The sequence below is a fragment of the Homo sapiens genome, chromosome 19, assembly GCF_000001405.40.
Source record: "Homo sapiens chromosome 19, GRCh38.p14 Primary Assembly".
NCBI classification, from domain to species: Eukaryota; Metazoa; Chordata; class Mammalia; order Primates; family Hominidae; genus Homo; species Homo sapiens.
The window spans coordinates 52,617,811-52,638,395 of record NC_000019.10 but is presented as its reverse complement, the minus strand read 5'-3'; the positions used below and the strand labels follow the sequence as shown (position 1 = coordinate 52,638,395).

The 20,585-nt window shown below is 46.7% G+C and overlaps 1 protein-coding gene, 1 long non-coding RNA gene and 1 pseudogene across 21 annotated transcripts in view, besides 3 other annotated features; 2 read left to right on the top strand and 1 right to left on the bottom strand.

Annotated features, from left to right (window-relative positions):
* Nucleotides 1-20,585, top strand: part of ZNF83 (zinc finger protein 83) — a 78,120-nt gene that overhangs the window by 52,101 nt on the left and 5,434 nt on the right. For 5 of the 17 annotated variants that reach the window (NM_001105552.2, NM_001105550.2, NM_001277952.2 and 2 more), the window contains exons 1-3: nt 41-84; nt 3,243-3,330; nt 19,334-19,460. The exons of 1 other annotated variant lie outside the window; for it this stretch is intronic. The gene's annotated coding sequence lies outside the window, so the exon portion shown is untranslated. Of the gene's footprint in view, nt 1-40; nt 85-3,191; nt 3,331-19,333; nt 19,461-20,585 lie in introns of those variants that run through there. 11 more of the 17 variants (NM_001277948.2, NM_001277945.2, NM_001348015.2 and 8 more) reach the window with 6 other exon arrangements.
* Nucleotides 41-20,021, top strand: LOC124904757 (zinc finger protein 677-like; annotated as a pseudogene).
* Nucleotides 77-594: an enhancer, noted in NCBI's record as "H3K27ac-H3K4me1 hESC enhancer chr19:53141055-53141572 (GRCh37/hg19 assembly coordinates)". NCBI's record gives its function as "activates a minimal SCP1, AML or CMV promoter by ChIP-STARR-seq in naive H9 embryonic stem cells {active_cell/tissue: H9 hESC(naive)}" and the evidence as "EXISTENCE:reporter gene assay evidence [ECO:0000049][PMID:30033119]".
* Nucleotides 204-323: an enhancer, noted in NCBI's record as "active region_15055". NCBI's record gives its function as "activates an Ori minimal core promoter by ATAC-STARR-seq in GM12878 lymphoblastoid cells {active_cell/tissue: GM12878}" and the evidence as "EXISTENCE:reporter gene assay evidence [ECO:0000049][PMID:35858748]".
* Nucleotides 595-1,113: an enhancer, noted in NCBI's record as "H3K27ac-H3K4me1 hESC enhancer chr19:53140536-53141054 (GRCh37/hg19 assembly coordinates)". NCBI's record gives its function as "activates a minimal SCP1, AML or CMV promoter by ChIP-STARR-seq in naive and primed H9 embryonic stem cells {active_cell/tissue: H9 hESC(naive and primed)}" and the evidence as "EXISTENCE:reporter gene assay evidence [ECO:0000049][PMID:30033119]".
* LOC137778871 (uncharacterized) overlaps nt 2,817-20,585 on the bottom strand; it is a 34,279-nt gene continuing 16,510 nt past the window's right edge. The window contains exons 2-4 of one of the 4 annotated variants that reach the window (NR_197423.1): nt 17,150-17,297; nt 10,057-10,238; nt 5,037-5,360 (exon numbers count right to left, since the gene is read on the bottom strand). This is a non-coding gene — a long non-coding RNA (uncharacterized LOC137778871). Of the gene's footprint in view, nt 3,732-5,036; nt 5,361-10,056; nt 10,239-11,122; nt 17,298-20,585 lie in introns of those variants that run through there. The other 3 variants (NR_197424.1, NR_197425.1, NR_197422.1) reach the window with 3 other exon arrangements.

Below are 20,585 nucleotides of genomic sequence, written 5' to 3'. Positions count from 1 at the left end.
GCCCAGACCTGGCTTCTGTACTGCGCGCGCACATGCGCGCAAACCCGGAAGCGGATTATGTGGAGTGAAAGTTACACCGTGGCGGTGAGTTTCGCTCTTCTATTAAGTCTGCGCTTACCAGGTCCCCGGCGCTGCTGTACCTGAGACGTGGGGTCCCCACAGACCTGGAAATTCTCTCCCTTCTTCCTTCACCCAGGACAAATTGAGACGTCCCCATGAGAGTCCGGATATCGCTTCCTTTTGGGTTTAAAGTCGCCCTGAGGCTGGGCTGTCCCCGGTCTTTCTGCTGTAGGGCGATGTATACACTTCCTGTCGCGTAGTTTTCCTGCTCAAAACTGTTTTCTGACTCCTCCCGCCCCTCGCTTTTTAAAGTCCTCACCCGAGAGCTGGATTCCCGCCCTGGGCGCCTCCCACCCTCGCCTTCGTAGGCCACTGGAGCGCAGCGCCAGGGCCCCAGTCCCAGGGAGGCCGCGTACTTTGCCTGGTCCTGGAATCCTGCAGACCCCAACCTTGTCTTAAGGCGCCGTCTCCCCCCCACCTCCCTCCTCGTGGCGGGCCCTGCTGCTCCACAGGTCTCTCCTCCACAGTCACCTCTTCCCCTGAACCCGCGTTGGGGAGGTACCCGGGGCCTGTCCTGTGACACGGGGTGTTCTTGCCTGCCCAGCTCCAGCCCCCGGAAAACGAGCTCCTCCGGGATGCAGGCGTCTTATCCAAACCCTCCTGTGATTGTGTCGGCCAAAGGCATTGGGAGACAGAGCAGTAGAAAAGCTGAGACAGAGAAAAGAATGAGAAAGACCCATAACAGAGGGCAAAGTAGAGGGTGGGTGATGGATTTGTCAAGAGACAGCAAAAGTGAAAAGAAAAAAAAAGAAAGCAGGAGGAGAAAAGTAACTGGAGAAACGTAGAGAAACCTAGATGTACAGAGAGATGAAGGACAGCAAGGTAGGGAGAGGGGCAGCAAAGAGGGAATCTCATCAGAGTGAGGGAGAGGAGGAGGGATTTGGAGCCAGGGCAGACAGAGCAGAGTGGTGCTGGTGGCAAGGAGAACAGAGGGAGAACCACAGCAGGGAGGACACCTGGGGATCTGTGGTTCCACATATTGGGGACAGGGGGTATAACAGGGAAGACGGAATTTAACAGGGAGAGCAGAGGATGCACAGAGATGGGAGAAGAGGCGGAAATATATCAAGATTGAGGACGATAGAACGATTGGGGAGAAGGAACAGCAAGAAGTTAGGTAAGTTGCGAGGATGGAGCAGAAGAGGTGGAAGAGAAGGAATAGAGGGAAGAAGGGGATAAACAGCAGGAGAGGAGAGGGGTACAAAATGAGGAGCAGAATGCCAGGTAAAAAGAAAAGAAAACAAGAGCTAGAGAGAGAAGGGGAGAATGAGAGATATGTACACAATTAGGGAGGGAAGCACAGTAATGAAGAAAGATGGGCTGGGCGCAGTGGCTTACGCCTGTAATCCCAGCACTTTAGGAGACTGAGGCAAGAAGATTGCTTGAGTACAGGAGTTCGAGTCTAGCTTGGGCAACATAGTGAGACCCCCATCTCTACCAAAAAAAAAAAAAAACAACCGGGCATGATAGTGTGCACCTGTAATCCCAGCTACTCTGAAGGCCGAGGCAGAAGGATCACTTGAACCCAGGAGGTCCAGGCTGCAGTGAGCCGAGATCATGTCACTGCACTCCAGCCTGGTCAACAGAGCAAGACCCTGTCTCAAAAGAAAAAAAGGGGCGGAGGACTTTGGGTTTAGATGAGTGGGTGAGTTCATTGGATACGATTAGTTGTGACATTTGACTTCTTTGTATATAATCTAGTAACTTAAAACTGCTTAAATTATACAGATGAGATTGAGAATTTTAAGAATCCTATCTATAAGACATGTACATTCTATGAATGTTGGCCTCAGAGGTTAGCTTCCACTTGGAATCCCTATTCAGCTACAGTGGAGTGACTTATTCACTTGTGAGTCACTCTGTTCCCTTTTCCCAGAGTGGGGTAGGGAGTGGGGCAGTGAAGTGAGAAAAAAATCCCTTTCTGTTAACACATAATTTTTAACTTAATTAATTAACTAACATTAAGAGACAGGGTCTGGCCAATTGCCTAGGCTGGAATGCAGTGGCATGATCTTTAACTGCAGCCTGGTCCTCCTGGGCTCAAGTAATCCTCCTACGTCAGCTTCCTAAGTAGCTGGGACCACAGTGATGAGCCACCAAGAAGCCCGGCTAGTTTTCTTTTTCTTTCTTTTTTTTTTTTTTGTAGAAACGAGGTTTCACTGTGTTTCCCAGGCTAGTCTCAAAATCCTGGGCTCAAAGTATCCTCCTGCCTTGGCCGCCCAGAGTACTGAGATTACAGGAAAGAGCCACCGCACGTGGTCTACATAGTTTTTTTTTTTTTTTGAGTTGGAATTTCCCTGTTGTTTCCCAGGCTGGAGTGCAGTGGCGTGATTTCGGCTCACCACAATCTCAGCTTCCCAGATTCATGCGATTCTCTTGCTTCAGCCTCCCAACTAGCTGGGATTACAGACGCCCACCAAGCCCAGCTACTTTTTGTATTTTTAGTAGAGATGGAGTTTCACCATGTAGCCCAGGCTACTCTCGAACTCCTGACGTCAAACAATCTGCCCACCTTGGCCTTTCAGAGTGCTAGTATTACAGGCATGAGCCACTGTGGCCAGCCCAATTTTTGTATTTCTAGTAGAGGGTTTCAACATGTTGGCAGGCTGGTCTCTAATTCCTGAGCTTAAGCGATTCTGTCTCCTCAGCTTCCTAAGTAGCTGGGAACATAGACACACAGACGTGTACCTTCATGCCTGGCTATGTTTTTGTATTTTTGGCAAAGATGGGGTTTCACCATGTTGCCCAGGCTGATCTCAAACCCCTGAGATTAAGCGATCCACCTGCCTCAGCCTCCCAGAGTGCTGGGATGACAGGCATGAGCCACTGCACCCAGTTTCTGCATGGGGTTTGGTCAGGGCTGGGTCTGCGCCCTGAAGAGGAGCTCATTCCAGCCCAGCTCCCCACTGCTGCAGCGTGTGTGGACTCCTCCAGAAGGGTGTGGTGTGGGCTTCTCCAGAAGGGTGCGGGAGTTTTCCTGTAGGAGTTTATCGTCTCTGGTGCAGTGGGCAGCAGAGGGGACCATATTTCCTCAGGGTGAGGTCTCCTTTGTATGTGTTGTTATGTTACAGGAATGGGGTGTATTGATTCTGAGCAATAAACAACATATTTTTAACATTCAGGATTGACTTCTAAGGACTCTTGGTACATGAGGAAGAAACCCGGAAGGGGAAGAGGAAAGCAAAGGCGTCAGGAATGGTTCTTCCTCAGGTGAGATGATATTCTCGGTGGATTGTTCTGTCTCTTTCCTTTCAGAAACCCTGGGCCTTGGAGTTGGGAATCTTCTCTGGGTCTCAAGAAGTGTCCTGCCTGACAGGTTTGCTCACACTCACCCATGCCTTCCCTCAGTCCCTCTCATCTCACTTAGATTCCATCTCTTGTGACCCAATCACATGAACTTGGGAAGAGGCTGCACTGGGCATGGTCCTGGTAAGGGCCCACACCCAGACATGGATGGAGACGGGGTGAGGGTCCCGTGGTGTCAGTGCTGTTGGGCAGCAGGGATTGTTCAGGGGCCACATCTGGATGCTCTGTCAACTCTCTGTGGACCAGGATTAGAGCAGCTGCCAATGGAAGTCACGTATTAATGTCCACGAAGTATGTGGTAAATTCTAGAAAAGGAGACAAATAAGGGGAAATCTTTTCTCCCTGATTTTATACTATATTTTTAGGTAATTTAGTGAGTTACTTTGTTTCTGACTCCAAAAATCTTACTAATTAGAATGGAAAGTTCATACACAGACATGCATGATACAAGGTGTTTTATTCCATCATTATTTTAAGAATAGGAAATCAACCTGAATAATAGCAGGAGATTCTTTAAACCATTCTTAGCACATTAAGCTCGTGGAGATTGTGGTGTTAAGAGGCTTCTGAAACAGGTGTTTTTGGTAAAAATAGTTACTATTTTTCTCAACTATGGGAGAAGCACTTTTGTATCCTAGAGGATGGAGCCATATTCTCATTCCACCTATTATTATTATTATTATTATTGTTGTTGCTTTGAGATGGAGTCTTGCTCTGTCACCCAGGCTGGAGTGCAACGGCCTGATCTTGGCTTACTGCAACCTCTGCCTTCTGAGTTCAAGTGATTCTCCTACCTCAGCCTCCTGAGTAGCTGAGATTACAGGTACATGCCACCACACCCGGCTAATCTTTTTGTATTTTTAGTAGACACAGGGTTTCATCACGTTGGCCAGGCTGGTCTCGAAGTCCTGACCTCAGGTGATCCTTCTGCCTCAGCCTCCTATAGTGCTGTGATTACAGGCGCGAGCCACGGTGCCCAGCCCCACCAATTAATAATGAATATATATTTTTATATTTGAACATCACATGATGTATATATTTGTTATTTATTTATTTATTTTGAGAGAGTTTCACTCTTGTTGCCCAGTCTGGAGTGCAATGGCGTGATCTTTGCTCACCGCAACCTCCACCTTTTGGGTTCAAGTGATTCGCCTTCCTCAGCCTCCTGAGTAGCTGGTACTCCAGGCATGCGTCACCATGCCCGGCTAATTTTGTATTTTTAGAAGAAATGAGGTTTCTCCATGTTGGCCAGGCTGGTCTCAAACTCCCGACCTCAGGTGATCCGCCTGCCTTGGGCCTCCCGAAGTGCTGGAATTACAGGCATGAGCCACCACACCTGACCAATGAATATATTTGTTTTGTGGTAAAACTCTAAGCAAAGCTGCATCTTAGGCCCTTGGCCATAAAGCGTCTCCTTTCCCTGTCACATCCTCCACCCTCCTTCCAGCCTCACTGGGGAGCCGCTACTGTCAGTTCTGTGCCAGGTTATCAGAGCAAGTCTCGTACACGTGTATTTTTGCATCATTATGAGACTTTAGGAAAAAACGGCAGTAAATTAAAAGAAATTATATTTTTCATGCACGTCCGTGTGAAGAGACTACCAAACAGGCTTTGTGTGAGCAATAAAGCTGTTTATTTCACCTGGGTGCAGGTGGGCTGAGTCTGAAAAGAGAGTCAGCGAAGGGAGATGGGGTGGGGCCGTTTTATAGGATTTGGGTAGGTAAAGGAAAAAGGGGGGTTGTTCTCTGGTGGGCAGGGGTGGGGGCCACAAGGTGCCCAGTAGGGGAGCTTTTGAGCCAGGATGAGCCAGGAGAAGGAATTTCACAAGACGATGTCATCAGTTAAGGCAGGAACAGGCCATCTGGATGTGTATGTGCAGGTCACAGGGGATATGATGGCTTAGCTTGGGCTCAGAGGCCTGATATTCCTGTCTTCTTATATTAATAAGAAAAATAAAACGAAATAGTGGTAAAGTGTTGGGACGGTGAAAATTTTTGGGGGTGGTATGGAGAGAGAATGGACGATGTTTCTCTGGGCTGCTTCGAGCGGGATTAGGGGTGGCGTGGGAACCTAGAGTGGGAGAGACTAAGCTGAAGGAAGATTTTGTGGTAAGGGGTGATATTGTGGGGCTGTTGGAAGAAACATTTATCATTTAGAATTATTGGTGATGGCCTGGATACAGTTTTGTATGAATAGAAAAACTAAACGGAATAAGAGAAGGAGAAAAACAGGTATTAAAGGACTAAGAATTGGGAGGAACTACGACATCTAATACTAGAGAGTGCCTAAGGAGGTTCAGCATAGCCTTGCCAGTAAAGATTATTTATTTACTTTAAGAGTTAAGAGTGGCGGTTTGTGGACAGCACTAGGAGATATCAGCTGTGCTGGCTTGGAGAAACAGTGTAAACTGGCAGTGTAAAGAAGAGCAGGGCATTTATGAGTAGTTGACAAGGGTGAATAGGAGCATGACTAGACAGAAGATAGTAGGGATGACAAGTTTTTTGGGGCACAGTCCAAGTTGGTCTGGTGTCTGGAATGAGACTGGGGCCTAATAAAAAGGAGCTCAAATGGGCTGTACCTTGTAGCATTCTGAGGACAGGCCTGAATTCTGAGAAGCGAAAGTGGTAAAAGTATTGTCCAGTCCTTTTTAAGTTGGTGGCTGAGCTTGGTGAGGTGTGTTTTTAAAAGACTTTTAGTCCGTTCTACTTTTCTTGAAGATGGAGGACCATAAGGGTTCACTGAATACTAAGCCTGAAAAACTGCTTGGCTGATTTGACTAATAAAGTCTGGTCTGCTGTCAGACTGTATAGAGGTGGGAAGGCCAAACTGAGGAATTATGTCTGACAGAAGGGAAGAAATGACTGCAGTGGCCTTCTCAGACCCTGTAGGAAAGGCCTCTACCTATCCAGTGAAAGTATCTACCTAGACTAAGAGATATTTTAGTTCCTGACTCAGGGCACGTTGAGTAAAGCTAATTTGCCAGTCCTGGGTGGGGGCAAATCCTCGAGCTTGATGTGTAGGGAAGGGAGGGGGGCCTGAATAATCCCTGAGGAGTAGTAGAATAGCAGATGGAACACTGAGAAGTTATTTCCTTGAGGATAGATTTCCACGATGGAAAGGAAATGAGAGGTTCTAAGAGGCGGGCTAGTGGCTTGTACTATAGCATAGCCTGCCTTTGCTGGTGTGTGGCGATTAGGCCTGGTGGAACCGCCATCAATAAATCAAGCGTGATCAGGTGAAGAACAGGAAAGAAGGAAATATGGGGAAATGGTGTGAATGTCAGATGGATCAGAGAGATACAGTCATGAGGGTCAGGTGTGGTATCCAGAATAATGTGGGAGGCCGGATTGAAGTCCGGGCCAGGAACAATGGTAATTGTGGGACTTAACAAAGAGTGAGTGCAGCTGAAGGAGCCAGGGAGCAGAAAGTATATGCATCAGGTATGAGGAAGAAAATAGATTTTGGAAGTTATGAGAAATGTAGAGAGTAAGTTGAGCATAGTTTGTGATTTTGAGGGCCTCTAAAAGTATTAGGGCGGCAGCAGCTGCTGCACGCAGACATCATGGCCAGCCTAAAACAGTAAGGTCAAGTTGTTTGGACAGAAAGGCTACAGGGTGCCGTTCTGGCTCTTGTGTAAGAATTCTGACCACACTAACTATGCCTAGGAAGGAAAGGAGTTGTTGTTTTGTAAGGGATTGAGGTTTGGGAGATTAATTGGACACGATCAGCAGGGAGAGCACATGTGTTTTTATGAGAATTATGCTGAGATAGGTAACAGATGAGGAAGAAATTTGGGCTTGACTGAAGTAATGGGGGCTGTCTGTGAAGCCTTGCGGCAGTACAGCCCCAGGTAATTTGCTGAGCCTAATGGGTGTCAGGGTCAGTCCAAGTGAAAGCGAAGAGAGGCTGGGATGAAGGGTGCAAAGGAATAGTAAAGAAAGCATGTGTGAGATCCAGAACAGAATAATGGGTAGTAGAGGCAGGTACTGAGGATAGGAGAGTATATGGGTTTGGCACCATGGGGTGGATAGGCAAAACAATTTGGTTGATAAGGTGCAGATCCTGAACTAACCTATTAAGTCTTATCTGGTTTTAGGACAGGTAAAATGGGGGAGTTGTAAGGAGAGTTTATAGGCTTTAAAAGGCCATGCTGTAACAGGCGAGTGATAACAGGCTTTAATATTTTTAAAGCGTGCTGTGGGATGGGATACTGGCGTTGAGTGGGGTAAGGGTGATTAGGTTTTAATGGGATGGTAACGGGCATGTGAGCAGTTGCCAGGGAAGGAGTGGAGATGTCCCATACTTGTGGGTTAAGGTGGGGGGATACGAGAGGAGGATGCGAAGGAAGCTTTGGGTTGGGGAGAAGGGCAGCAGTGAGATGCGGCTGTAGTCCAGGAATAGTCAGGGAAGCAGATAATTTGGTTAAAATATCTCAGCCTAACAAGGGAACTGGGCAGGTGGGGATAACTAAAAAAGAGTGCATAAAAGAGTGTTGTCCAAGTTGGCACCAGAGTGGGGGAGTTTTAAGAGGCTTAGAAGCCTGGCTGTCAATACCCACAACAGTTATGGAGGCAAGAGAAACAGGCCCTTGAAAAGAAGGTAATGTGGAGTGGGTAGCCTCCGTATTGATTAAGAAGGGGACAGACTGACTTTCCACTGTGAGAGTTACTTAGAGCATCTGTGATGGTCCTGTAGGCTTCCGAGGCGATCGGGCAGTGTCAGTCTTCAGCCACTAAGCCAAGAAGATCTGGGAAGGAGTCAGTCAGAGAGCCATGGGCCAGCGTTCCAGGGGCTCTGGGAGTGGTTGCCAAGTGAGTTGAACGGTCCGATTTTCAGTGGGGTCCCACACAGATGGGACACGGCTTAGGAGGAATCCTGGGCTGCGGGCATTCCTTGGCCCAGTGGCCAGATTTCTGGCACTTGTAGCAAGCTCCTGGGGGAGGAGGTTCTGGAGGAATGCCTGGCCACTGTGGTTCAGGCGTTTGGAAGTTCTTGTGTGCTGGAGATGTGGCTGGGGTTTGTCTCACAGTGGAGGCAAGGAATTGCAACTTTTTTCTATTATTGTACACCTTGAAGGTGAGGTTAATTAAATCCTGTTGTGGGGTTTGAGGGCCGGAATTTAATTTTTGGAGTTTTATTTAATGTCGGGAGCAGATTGGGTAATAAAATGTATTTTGAGAATAAGACGGCCTTTTGACCTTTTAGGGTCTAGGGCTGTAAAGTGTCTCAGGGTTGCTGCCAAACGAGTCATGAACTGGGCTGGATTTTTATATTTGATGAAAAAGAGCCTAAACGTTATCTGATTTGGAATAAAGAAAAAGGAGCATTAACCTTGACTATGCCTTTAGCTCCAGCCACCTTTTTAAGAGTAAATTGCTGGGCAGGTGGGGGAGGGCTAGTCACGGAACAAAACTGTAAGCCGGACCGGGTGTGAGCAGGTGAGGTGATAAAAAGATTACAGGGTGGAGGAGCGGAGGCTGAGGAAGAATTGGGACCTAGCTCGGCCTGGCAAGGAGCAGCCTGGGGAGGAGGGGAAGAGTTCAGATGGGCCTGTAGAAAAGGAAGATTAGAAAGACTCAGCGATGCTTGGGGTTGGGACTGAGGGAACAGGCAGGAGGGAAAGAAGGAAGATTTGGGATGAGTTGCACTGGGCACAGAGACTGGGCACAGGGACCGATGTGTAAAAGAATGCCTGGATGTCAGGCACCTCAGACCGTTTGCTTATTTTATGACAAGAATTATTTAGATCTTGCAGGGTGGAAAAATTGAAAGTGCTGTTTTCTGGCTATTTGGAACTACTGTCGAGTTTGTATTGGGGTCCAGCGGCATTGCAGAAGAAAATAAGATGCTTAGATTTTAGGTCAGGTGAGAGTTGAAGAGGTTTTAAGTTCTTAAGAACACAGGAAAGGGAGAAGGAGGAATGGAGGGTGGAATATTGCCTATAGTGAAGGAGGCAAGCCCAGAGAAAAGAGAGTAGAGACACGGAGGGAAGGGGTTTGGGGGTTCTTACCTCCAGAAAAGTGGGAAAGCGGTTGGGGCACAGAGATATGAGGTCAGGGCATGGAAATAAGGGATTGGGGCACAGAGATATAAGAGGTTGGGGCACAGAGATATATGAGGTTGGGGCATGGAAATAAGGGATTGGGGTGCAGAGATATAAGGGGTTGGGGTACTTGCTCCTCCCCTAGAAAAGTGGGACTTGCTGCTAAGGGTGAAGGAGAAGGGGTTGGGGTTTCTTGCCCCCCAGAAAGGCGAAGAAGGGGTAGAGACACAGAGAGAAGGTGTTGGGGTACTTACACCTTCCCTAGAAAAGCGGAACTTGCTGCTAAGGGTGAAGGACCAAGGCAGGCGTCCCTGTGTGGTCTGACACCTCTGAAACCTGGGTGAATAATCAGAGAGGCGTCCCTGCAATGATTAAACACCAAGGGAAGGCTGCCTTCCCTACTCCGTGACCGGCGCCCGAGTTTTGGGTCCACGGATAAAACGTGTCTCCTTTGTCTCTACCAGAAAATGAAAGGAATTGAAATTAAGAGAAAGGAGAGATTGAAGTGTGGTGCCAAGATTGAAAGGAGACAGAGGTTGAGGGATAGTGAGGGAGGTTGGAGAAGAGAGTAAAAAGAGGCCACTTACCGGATTTGAAATTGGTGAGATGTTTCTTGGGCTGGTCAGTCTGAGGACCTGAGGTCGTAGGTGGATCTTCCTCATGGAGCAAAGAGCAGGAGGACAGCGATTGATCTCCCAAGGGAGGTCCCCCAATCTGAGTCATGGCACCAAATTTCATGCGTGTCCGTGTGAAGAGACCACCAAACAGGCTTTGTGTGAGCAATAAAACTTTATTTCACCTGGGTGCAGGTGGGCTGAGTCCAAAAAGAGAGTAAAGGGAGATAGATAGGGGTTGGGCCATTTTATAGGATTTGGGTAGGTAAAGGAAAAAGGGGGGTTGTTCTCTGGTGGGCAGGAGTGGGTGTCACAACGTACTCAGTGGGGGAGCTTTTGAGCCAGGATGAGCCAGGAGAAGGAATTTCAAAAGACAGTGTCATCAGTTAAGGCAGGAACAGGCCATTTTCACTTCTTTTGTGGTGGAATGTCATCAGTTAAGGAAGGAACTGGCCATCTGGATGTGTACGTGCAGGTCACGGGATATGATGGCTTAGCTTGGGCTCAGAGGCCTGACAATATTCATTTTTTTACTTTAGGTTTGGGGCTACATGTGAAGGTTTGTTACACAGGTAAACTCGTGTCATCGGGGTTTGTTGTACAGAGTAGTTCATCACCTTGACATTAAGCCCAGTACCCAATATTTATTTATTTATTTAGTTGAGACTGAGTTTTGCTCTTTTGCTCAGGCCAGAGTACTGGTATGATCTCAGCTCATTGCAATTTCTGCCTCCCAGGTTCAAGGGATTCTCCTGCCTCAGTAGCTGGGATTACAGGTGCCTGCCATCATGCCTGGCTAATTTTTGTATTTTTAGTAGAGAGAGGGTTTCACCACATTGGCCAGGCTGGTCTTGAATTCCTGACCTCAGGTGATCCACCCACCTCGGCCTCCCAAAGTGCTGGAATTACAGGCATGAACCACAACACCTGGCCCCCAATAGTTTTTCTTTTTTATGCCTCTCCTTCCTCCCACCCTCCACCCTCAACTAGACTGCAGTGTCATGCTCGTCTGTGTGAAGAGACCACCAAATAGGCTTTGTGTGAGCAACAAGGCTGTTTATTTCACCTGGGTGCAGGCAGACTGGGTCTGAAAAAGAAGTCAGCAAAAGGAGATGGGGTGGGGCAGTTTTATAGGCCTGGGGTAAGCAGTGGATAGTTACAGTTAAAGGTGGTTATCTATTGTCAGCAGAGGAGAGCGTCACAAGGTGCATTGTGGGGAGATCATAAGACTCATTGTCCAGAAGAATTTCTCAAGGTCGATCGATCAGTTGGGGCAGGGCAGGAACAAGTCATAATGGAAAGTCATAAGGTTGGTCAATCAGTTAAGACAGGGGCTGGCTGTTTCACTTCTTTTGTACTTTTCGGTTGCCTCAGGCCATCTGGATGTATACCTGCAGTCTTGGGCTCAGAGGCCTGACATTCCTGTCTTCTTATATTAATAAGAAAAATAAAACAAAATAGTGAAGTGTTGGGGTGGCAAAAATTTTTGGGGGTGGTATGGAGAGATAATGGATGATGTTTCTCAGGGTTGCTTCGAGTGAGATTAGGAGCTGCGTGGACACCTTAAGGAAAATTTTATAATGAGTTACAAGGAATAGGGATTTAGGCTGTGGGGAGATCTTGGTGCGGGGGATGGTACTGTGGGGTTGTTAAAAGTAGCATTTGTCATATAGAATGATTGGTGATGGTCTGAATGTGGTTTTGTATGAATTGAGAAACTAAATGGAAGACACAGGGCCTGAATAAGAGAAGGAGAAAAACAGGTACCAGGGGACTAAGAATAGGGAGTAGCCAAGACACTCAGTTAGAAAGTGTCCAGATGGGTCCTGTGTAATGATTTGCCTGGTTGGCAAATTTCTGGGCTCTATCCTTGAGTTTATGTTGTCATATACCAGGCCAGACTGATTTACGTAAAAACAATACTCTTCATTTAAAAATATACAGAGTCCTCCTTTTTCAGCAGTGAGTAAGTCCAGGCCTCAGCAATTTTGGAGGACAACTGGGGCTAAGAGTTGACTTGGCCTGAAGGACTGATAAAGTTTGTGATATATCTGTAATGCTAGTAGAAATGTCATTTGAAAGGCTATGGAAGGTCGTGACAGAAGTTGAAATGCCTGCTATTCCAGCTCCAAGGGCAATAGTGGAAGCAGAAAGTCCTAACCCTATAAGTAGAGGGATTAGAGGAATAACTCTTTTTTGTCTGTTTGGTATCATGAGTGGGATAGGAAGTTGTTCAGTCCCATTTGCAAATTGAATTTTGGGAATGAGAAAAATGAGTGTACATGTCCCTGTCCGATTAGCAGGCAGACACATGTAAGCGGAGGAGCCACAGAAGAAGAGGCCTTTTGCAAGGCAAAATTGGAAATGCAAAGTGAAAAGATGAGAAGAAGTGCTAAAAGAGGTGTCTTTTACCCAGACTCAGGGATCCAGCTAGGGCGGCAGCCATCAGAGGTTGTAATGGGGACTGATGGGGTAACTGTGTAGAGGGGGAGGTTCAATATTCATGGTGTATGAGAAAGCATTGAGTGTCTACAAGCAAACTTTCACTGTTATTTATGGGGCTGGATATAAGTAAATAAGAAGAGGGCCTGGGAGGAGAGTCTGAAGAGCAAGGGGAAGGTAGCCAAGGATGGAGTGAAATACAGGGTAAATGTTTTCCTAAGCAATAATGTTTTTAAGTTTGCCAGTATTGATAGATGTCTTGTCTGTAATACGGAGCTGGAAGGCCCCAATTGTTTCTGTGATATATGTAGTTGGGCTTTGGAGATGAAGAGTGAAGGAGCATTGAGAAGGTGAAAAGTTCCCCAGGGGAATTCCAGTGGGTCTTTGCTGAGAGATACATAATGGAGTGACCACAGAAATAGTAGCTTGTGTTGTGGGGAGTCCAAATATGGGGGGAGTAGACTTGACATAAGGAGAATGCGGCCTTGAGAAGAGTTTTTATTAAGGAGGCATTAATGATGGAGGACACTTGCATAGGGGGGAAACCTCTTTCAGCCCATATAACAGCATGGTGGTGCAAGATATGGAAGGTATATTTTGAGTCAGTATAAATATTGATGTGTAGTCCCTTTGCAAGAGTGAGGGCCTGAGTTTAGGCAATGAGTTCTGCTTGCTGAGAGGCTGTGGGAGTGGGGCAGAGTGGTAGCCTCAATGATAGATGTGGAAGATACTATAGCATAGCCTGCCTTTGCTGGTGAGTGGCGATTAGGCCTGGTGGAACTGCCATCAATAAACCAAATGTGATCAGGATGAGGAACACGAAAGGAGGGGGAAATGGAGTGAATGTCAGGGGGATCAGAGAGATACAGTCATGGGGGTCAGGTGTGGTATCTGGAATAATGTGGCAGGCTGGATTGATGTCTGGGCCAGGAACAATGGTAATTGTGGGAGACTCAACAAAGAGTGAGTATAGCTGAAGGAGCCAGGGAGCAAAAAGTATATGCATCAGGTGTGAGGAAGAAAATAGATTTGGGAAGTTATGAGAAATGTGGAGAGTGAGTTGAGCATAGTTTGTGACTTTGAGGGCCTCTAAAAGTATTAGGGTGGTGGTAGCTGCACGGAGACATCATGGCCAGCGTATAATAGGAAGGTCAAGTTGTTTGGACAAAAAGGCTACAGGGTGCAGTCCTGGTCCTTGTGTAAGAATTCCGACTGCACAACCCTGCACTTCGGCTGTGTGTAGTGAAAAGGGTTGGGATGAGTCAGGGAGAGCTAGTGTGGGAGCAGTCTCCAGAGCTGTCTTCAAGGAACGGAAAGACGAGTGGGGAAAGGATTTAGGATCTGTGCGGTCAGCTAGGTTTCCCTTTGTGAGTTGATACAATGGTTTTGTTAGGACAGCAAAGCCAGGTGTCCAAAGGTGAAAGTATCCAACCATGCCCAGGAAGGAAAGGAGTTGTTGTTTTATAGAAGGGGTTGGGGTTTGAGAGATCAGCTGGACACAGTTGGCAGGGATAGCATGCATGTTTTCATGAAGAATTATGCCAAGGTAGGTAATGGATGGGGAAGAAATTTGAGCTTTGGTGGGGGATACCTGATATCCTTTGGAGAATAAATGTTGAAGGAGTAGGAGGATATCCTTTTGCAAAGACTCAAAGTAGGGACTACAGAGTAGAAGGTCATCAATGTATTGAATAAGGTAGGAAGCAGAGGAGTGAAAAGAAAGTAAATCATGAGAAAGAGCTTGGCTGAAGTAATGAGGGCTATCCCGGAAGCCTTGCGGCAGTACAGCCCAGGTAAGCTGCTGGGACTGATGAGTGTCAGTGTCAGTCCAGGTAAAAGCAAAGAGGGGCTGGGATGAGGGGTGCAGGGGAATAGTGAAAAAAGCATGTTTAAGATCAAGAATGGAATAGTGAGTTGTGGAGGGCAGTATTGAGAACAAAAGAGTGTACAGGTTGGGCACCACAGGGTGGATAGGCAAAACAATTTGGTTTAAAAGGCACAGATCCTGAACCAACCTGTAAGACTCGTCCAGCTTTTGGACACTTAAAATGGGGGAATCATAAGGAGTTTTTAGACTTTAGAAGCTCATGCTGTAGCAGGCGAGTGATAACAGGCTTTAATCCCCTTAAAGCCTGTTGTGGGATGGGATACTGGTGTTGAGCAGGGTAAGGGTGATTAGGTATGGGTGTGTGATCAGTTGCCAGGGAGGGAGCAGAGGTGTCCCATACCTGTGGGTTAAGGTGGGGGGATACAAGAGGAAGACGTGAAGGAGGCTTTGGGTTGGGAAGAAGGGCGGCAATGAGATGTGGCTGTAGTCCAGGAATAGTCAGGGAAGCAGGTAATTTGGTTAAAATGTCTCAGCCTAATAAGGGAACTGGGCAGGTGGGGATAACTAAAAAGGAGTGCATAAAAGAATATTGTTCAAGTTGGCACCAAATTGGGAAGTTTTAAGGGGTCCAGGAGCCTGGCCATCAATACCCACAACAGTTATGGAGGCAAGGGAAACAGGCCCTTGAAAAGAAGGTAATGTGGAGTGGTTAGCCCCTGTATCAATTAAACAGGGGATGGACTTACGCCCCACTGTAAGAGTTACCCAAAGCTCAGCATCCCTGATGGTCCAGAGGGCTTCCGAGGCAATTGGGCAGTGACAGTCTTCAGCTGCTAAGCCGAGCAGATCTGGGAAGGAGTCAAAGAGCCATGGGCCAGAGCTTTAGGGGCTCTAGGAGTGGCTTCTGGGTGAGCTGGACAGTCTGATTTCCATGGGTCCCTGCACAGATGGGACGTGGCTTGGGAGGAATCCCTGGCTGCAGGCATTCCTTGGCCCAGTGGCCAGATTTCTGGCACTTGAAGCAAGATCCTGAGAGAGGAGGTCCTGTAGGAATGCCTGACCACTGCAGCTTAGGCGTTTTGAAGTTCTTGTGTGCTGGAGCTGCAGCTGAGTTTTGTCTCACAGCAGAGGCAAGTAATTGTAACTCAGAAATGCATTGCCATTTGGCTGCCTCCTCTCTATTATTGCACACTTTGAAGGTGAGGTTGATTAATTCCTGTTGTGGGGTTTGAGGACTGGATTCCAATTTTTGAAGCTTTTTTCTAATGTCAGGAGCTGACTGGTTGATAAAATGCATATTGAGAATGAGACAGCCTTCTGACCCTTCAGGGTCTAGGGCTGTAAAGTGTCTCAGAATTGCTGCCAGATGAACCATGAACTGGGCTGGGTTTTCATCTTTACCTTGGGTCGTTTAAGTTTGTCATAATTAACAGCTTTGTAAGCTGCCTTTTTAAGCACTTCAACTAGGCAGGAAATCATAATCTTGCCTAGCTATACCTGGGGAGCCTGTCTGGTATTCCCATTAGGGATCTTCTTGGGGAACTACCCAGATGCCTTGTTGAAGGTTTGGCTCATGAGGCCTGCAGGTGTCAGTGTGGGACTGGGCTAGGGTATAAACTCTATCCCACTCATCTGGGGAAAGGGTAGAAGGTAGGATGACATTTAAGTCACTCCAGGTTAAGTTGTAGTATTGGATTAAATACTGGAATTCCTGTATATATTTAGTGGTGTCTCACGAGAAGGGGCCTAAGTGTTGATTAATTTGGGAAAGGTCTGATAGAGAAAATGGTACATGCACTCTGCCGATGCCCTCAGCTCCAGGCACTTCTCAAAGAGGAAATTGTTGGGCAGGTTGGGGAGTATTTGCTGCAGAACGAAATTGTAAGCCGAACTGGGTGTGGGGAGGGGAGGTGACAGCAGGGTTACAGGGTGGGGGAGTGGAGGCTGAGGAAGAATTGGGACTTGATTCAGCCTTCTGAGGAGTGGCCTGGGGAGGGGGAGAGAGGTAAGAGGGGTCTTCAGAAAAGGAGGATTCAGAAGACTCAGCAGCAGTTGGTGTTGGGACTGAAGGGACAGGCAGGAGGGAAAGAAGCATTTGGGACTAGTCACATTGGGACCAGAAGCTAGGGAGGAAGTGAAGTGAAAAAATGCCTGGACATAAGGCACCTCAGACCATTTACCCATCTTATGACAAAAATTATTTAGGTCTTGTAGGATGGAGAAATCAAAAGTGCCATTATCTGGCCATTTAGAGCCATTATCAAGTTTGTATTGGGGCCAAACAGTGTTGCAGGAGAAAATAAGATGCTTAGGTTTTAGATCAGGTGAGAGTTGAAGAGGTTTCAAGTTTTTAAGAACACAGGCTAAGGGGGAAGTAGGAGGAATGGAGGGTGGATGGTTGCCCATAGTAAAAACGTAAGTTTAGAGAAAAGAGGGGTAGAGACACAGAGAGAGTGGGGTGGTACTTGCCACAAAGAGGAAATGGTACTTGCCACCAAGGTGGAGGATCAAGGCAGGTGTCCCTGTGGTGATTGAACAAGTCTGAAATGTGGGTGAATAATCAGACAGGCATCCCTGCAGTGATTAAACACCAAGGGAAGACTGTCTTCCCAAGTCCGTGACCAGCGCTGGAGTTTTGGGTTCATGGATAAAACATGTCTCCTCTGTCTCTACCAGAAAAGGAAAGGAACTGAAATTAAGGGAAGGGAGAGATTGAAAGGTGGTGCTGAAATTGAAAGGAGAAAGATGATGAGGGATAGTGACAAAGTTGGAGAAGACAGTAAAAAGACCACTTACCCAATTTGAAATTGGTGAGACGTTCCTTGGGCTGGTTGGTCTGAGGACCTGAGGTCGTAGCTGGAGCTCCTCATGGAGATCAGGACAGGGGATCAGTCTCCTGAAGGAGTCCTCCTGTCCCACATCTCACCAAATGTCACGTATGTCCCTGTGAAGAGACCACCAAACAGGTTTTGTGTGAGCAACAAGGCTGTTTATTTTACCTGGGTGCAGGCAGGCTGAGTCCAAAAAAGGAGTCAGCAAAGGGAGATAGGGGAGTGGCAGTTTTATAGGACTGGGATAAGCAGTGGAAAGTTACAATTAAAGGTGGTTATCTATTGTCAGCAGAGGAGGGGGTCACAAAGTGCATGGTGGGGAGGTCATAGGACTCATTGTCCAGAAGAAGAATGTCATGAGGTTGATCCATTGGTCAGTTGGGGCAGGGCAGAAACAAGTCATAATGGAAAGTCATAAGGTTGGTCAATCAGTTAAGACAGAAGCTGGCTGTTTCACTTCTTTTGTGCTTTTCGCTTGCCTCAGACCATCTGGATGTATACGTGCAGACTTGGGCTCAGAGGCCTGACGCCTAGTGTCTGTTGTTTTCTTCTTTGTGTTTAGTAAATATTTTACTCTGATATTTCATCCTGCTGGTTGTGAAAATTAACATGTTCTCATATTAGTAAATATGGCTACCTTCCTCTTTGATGCCTGCATTGGAAATTGGCTGAATAACATATGGGTCCTTTGTGACTTTTCTCTGTATAAGGAGTGCCATAGTCACTGCCTCTGTGCTCACCTGCATTACTACAGATATCTGAGGATTCCTCCAGGGAAGGCTGTTGAAGGAGTGATTGCTTCTAGGATGGGTAATCTCCTGTTTTCTTAGAACTGAACAGATTCTCCCCTGCCCTCAACTGCCAAAGTTCCTTTTCCACCAAGATGAGATTCCTCTTCAGTTAAAGGAAACTATATATACACACACACACACACACACACAGAGATATACACACACAGATATACACACACATATATACATATACACATACACACATACGTATATATTTTGAAAATCTTTTGTATTTTGAAAATCTGGGGAAAATGACAACCCTTTGCATTCAACTCTAGTTTTTTGTGAGTCTGCGTAAATTTTATTATTTTGTGGACATATATATAAAAAATGTATTTTTGTACTTTGAGTAATTTTGTTTTCTTGTATTTTGAGATGGGGCCTCGCTTTGTTGCCCAGGCTGAAGCTCAGTGGTGCAATCATAGCTCACTGCAACCTGTACCCTCATGGTAAAGACATCCTCCCACCTCGGCCTCCCAAGTAGTTGGAACCACAGATGCCTGCCACCATGCCCAGCTAAATTTTTTTTTCTTTCTTTGAGATGGAGTTTCTGTTGAACAGGCTGGAGTGCAGTGGTGTGATCTTGGATTACTGCAACCTCTGCCTCCCAGGATCAAGCAAGTCTCCGGCCTCAGCCTCCCATGTAGCTGGGATTACAGGCATGTGCCATTGAGCCCGGCTATTTCACTGTGGACGTTGTCATCTTTGAAGGCATCACTCATGCTCTATCTCATCTAGATACTGAGTGTCACTTGGTGTGTCAATAAAAGTTTCTAACATTTTTTTTTTTTTTTGGAGATGGAGTCTCACTCTGTTGCCCAGGTTGGAGTGCAGTGGCATGATCTTGGCTCACTGCAACCTCTACCTCCCGGCTTCAAGCAATTCTCCTGCCTCAGCCTCCTGAGTAGCTGAGACTACAGGCATCTACCACCACATCCAGCTAATTTTTGTATTTTTAGTACAGACAGAGTTTCACCATATTGTCCAGGCTAGTCTCGAATTCCTGACCTTGTGATCCACCTGCCTCAGCCTCCCAAAGTGTTGGGATTACAGGCGTGAGCCACAGCACCTGGCCAAAAGTTTCTAACATTTCTATAATGGGAACCAGGCATCTATTTATTTGAGTGTTTCTTGTATTCTTCACAAACATAATAAATTTATAACAAGAGGGTATTATGACCTCTTCAAAAAGTATAATCAAACACCACTGGGAAGACATCATGTGGTGAAAAATCCCTTACTCAGATTTGTCAGAACATTCACTACAATTAAATCCTTGTTGTCACCGCTCTCCTCATTTTCTGTAAAGATAAGAACTCCTCCCATAACCATTTGGTTAAAATGTGTTTTCATTTCAGGGTCTATTGACATTCAGGGATGTGGCCATAGAATTCTCTCAGGAGGAGTGGAAATGCCTGGACCCTGCTCAGAGGACTCTATACAGAGATGTGATGTTGGAGAATTATAGGAACCTGGTCTCCCTGGGTGAGGATAACTTCCCTCCAGAAGTGGGGATGTTCCCTTGTGTATCTTTGCATTTTCTCTTGTTTCTCTTGGGAGTTGCATCCTTGCTTGACTAAAATGGAAGCCGTATTGATTTTGAAATGAAAAGCTTCATGATGTAGCATCTGGACTTTCACTGTCCCCTTTTTTAGATGTTCTGCGTTCTTCATGATAGCTCAGTGGGGGTTCCAGAAGTAAAGAAGGCTTAAAACCTTATGGCTGGCAAGGCGTGGTGACTCATGCCTGTAATCCCAGCACTTTGGGAGGCCAAAGCTTGTGGATCACTTCAGGTCAGGAGTTCGATACTAGCCTCACCAACATGGCGAAACGTCATCTCTACTAAAAATACAAAAATTGGCCAGGCGCGGTGGCTCACGCCTGTAATCCCAGCACTCTGGGAGGCTGATGAGGGCGGATCACAAGGTCAGGAGATCGAGACCATCCTGGTGAACACAGTGAAACCCTGTCTCTACTAAAAATACAAAAAAAAATTAGCCGGGTGTGGTGGTGGGCACCTGTAGTCCCAGCTACTTGGGAGGCTGAGGCAGGAGAATGGCATGAACCCAGGGGACGGAGCTTGCAGTGAGCTGAGATCGTGCCACTGCACTCTAGCCTGGGAGACAGCCAGGCTCCATCTCAAAAAAAAAAAAACACAAAAATTATCCAGGCGTGATGGCACATGTCTGTAATCCCAGGTACTAGAAAGGCTAAGGTAAGATTATCACCTGAACCTGGGAGGCAATGGTTGCAGTGAGCCGAGAATGCATGACTGCACTCCAGCCCGGGTAACAGAGCAAGATTCTGTCTCAAAAAACAAAAACAAAACAAAACCTCATGGCAGACTTTAAAGATATCCAGTTCCCTATTTGCTACTCCTGTGCTTTTGATTCAGTAGTTCTGGGAAGAGAGCTCAGTGTCCACATATTACAGTGCTCTTTAAAGATTCAGAAGGAGGCAGTCAGTGGAGGAATTTGTGAGATATTTTCCTAAGTCCATCTGTAATGTCTTCTTTCCTACAGAAACATAGGGCTGGGGATCTAGAAAACTTCCAACATGTCATGTTTCCTACTTTTTATAAGCAGGAGTCTCTTTCTAACCTGTTGGAGC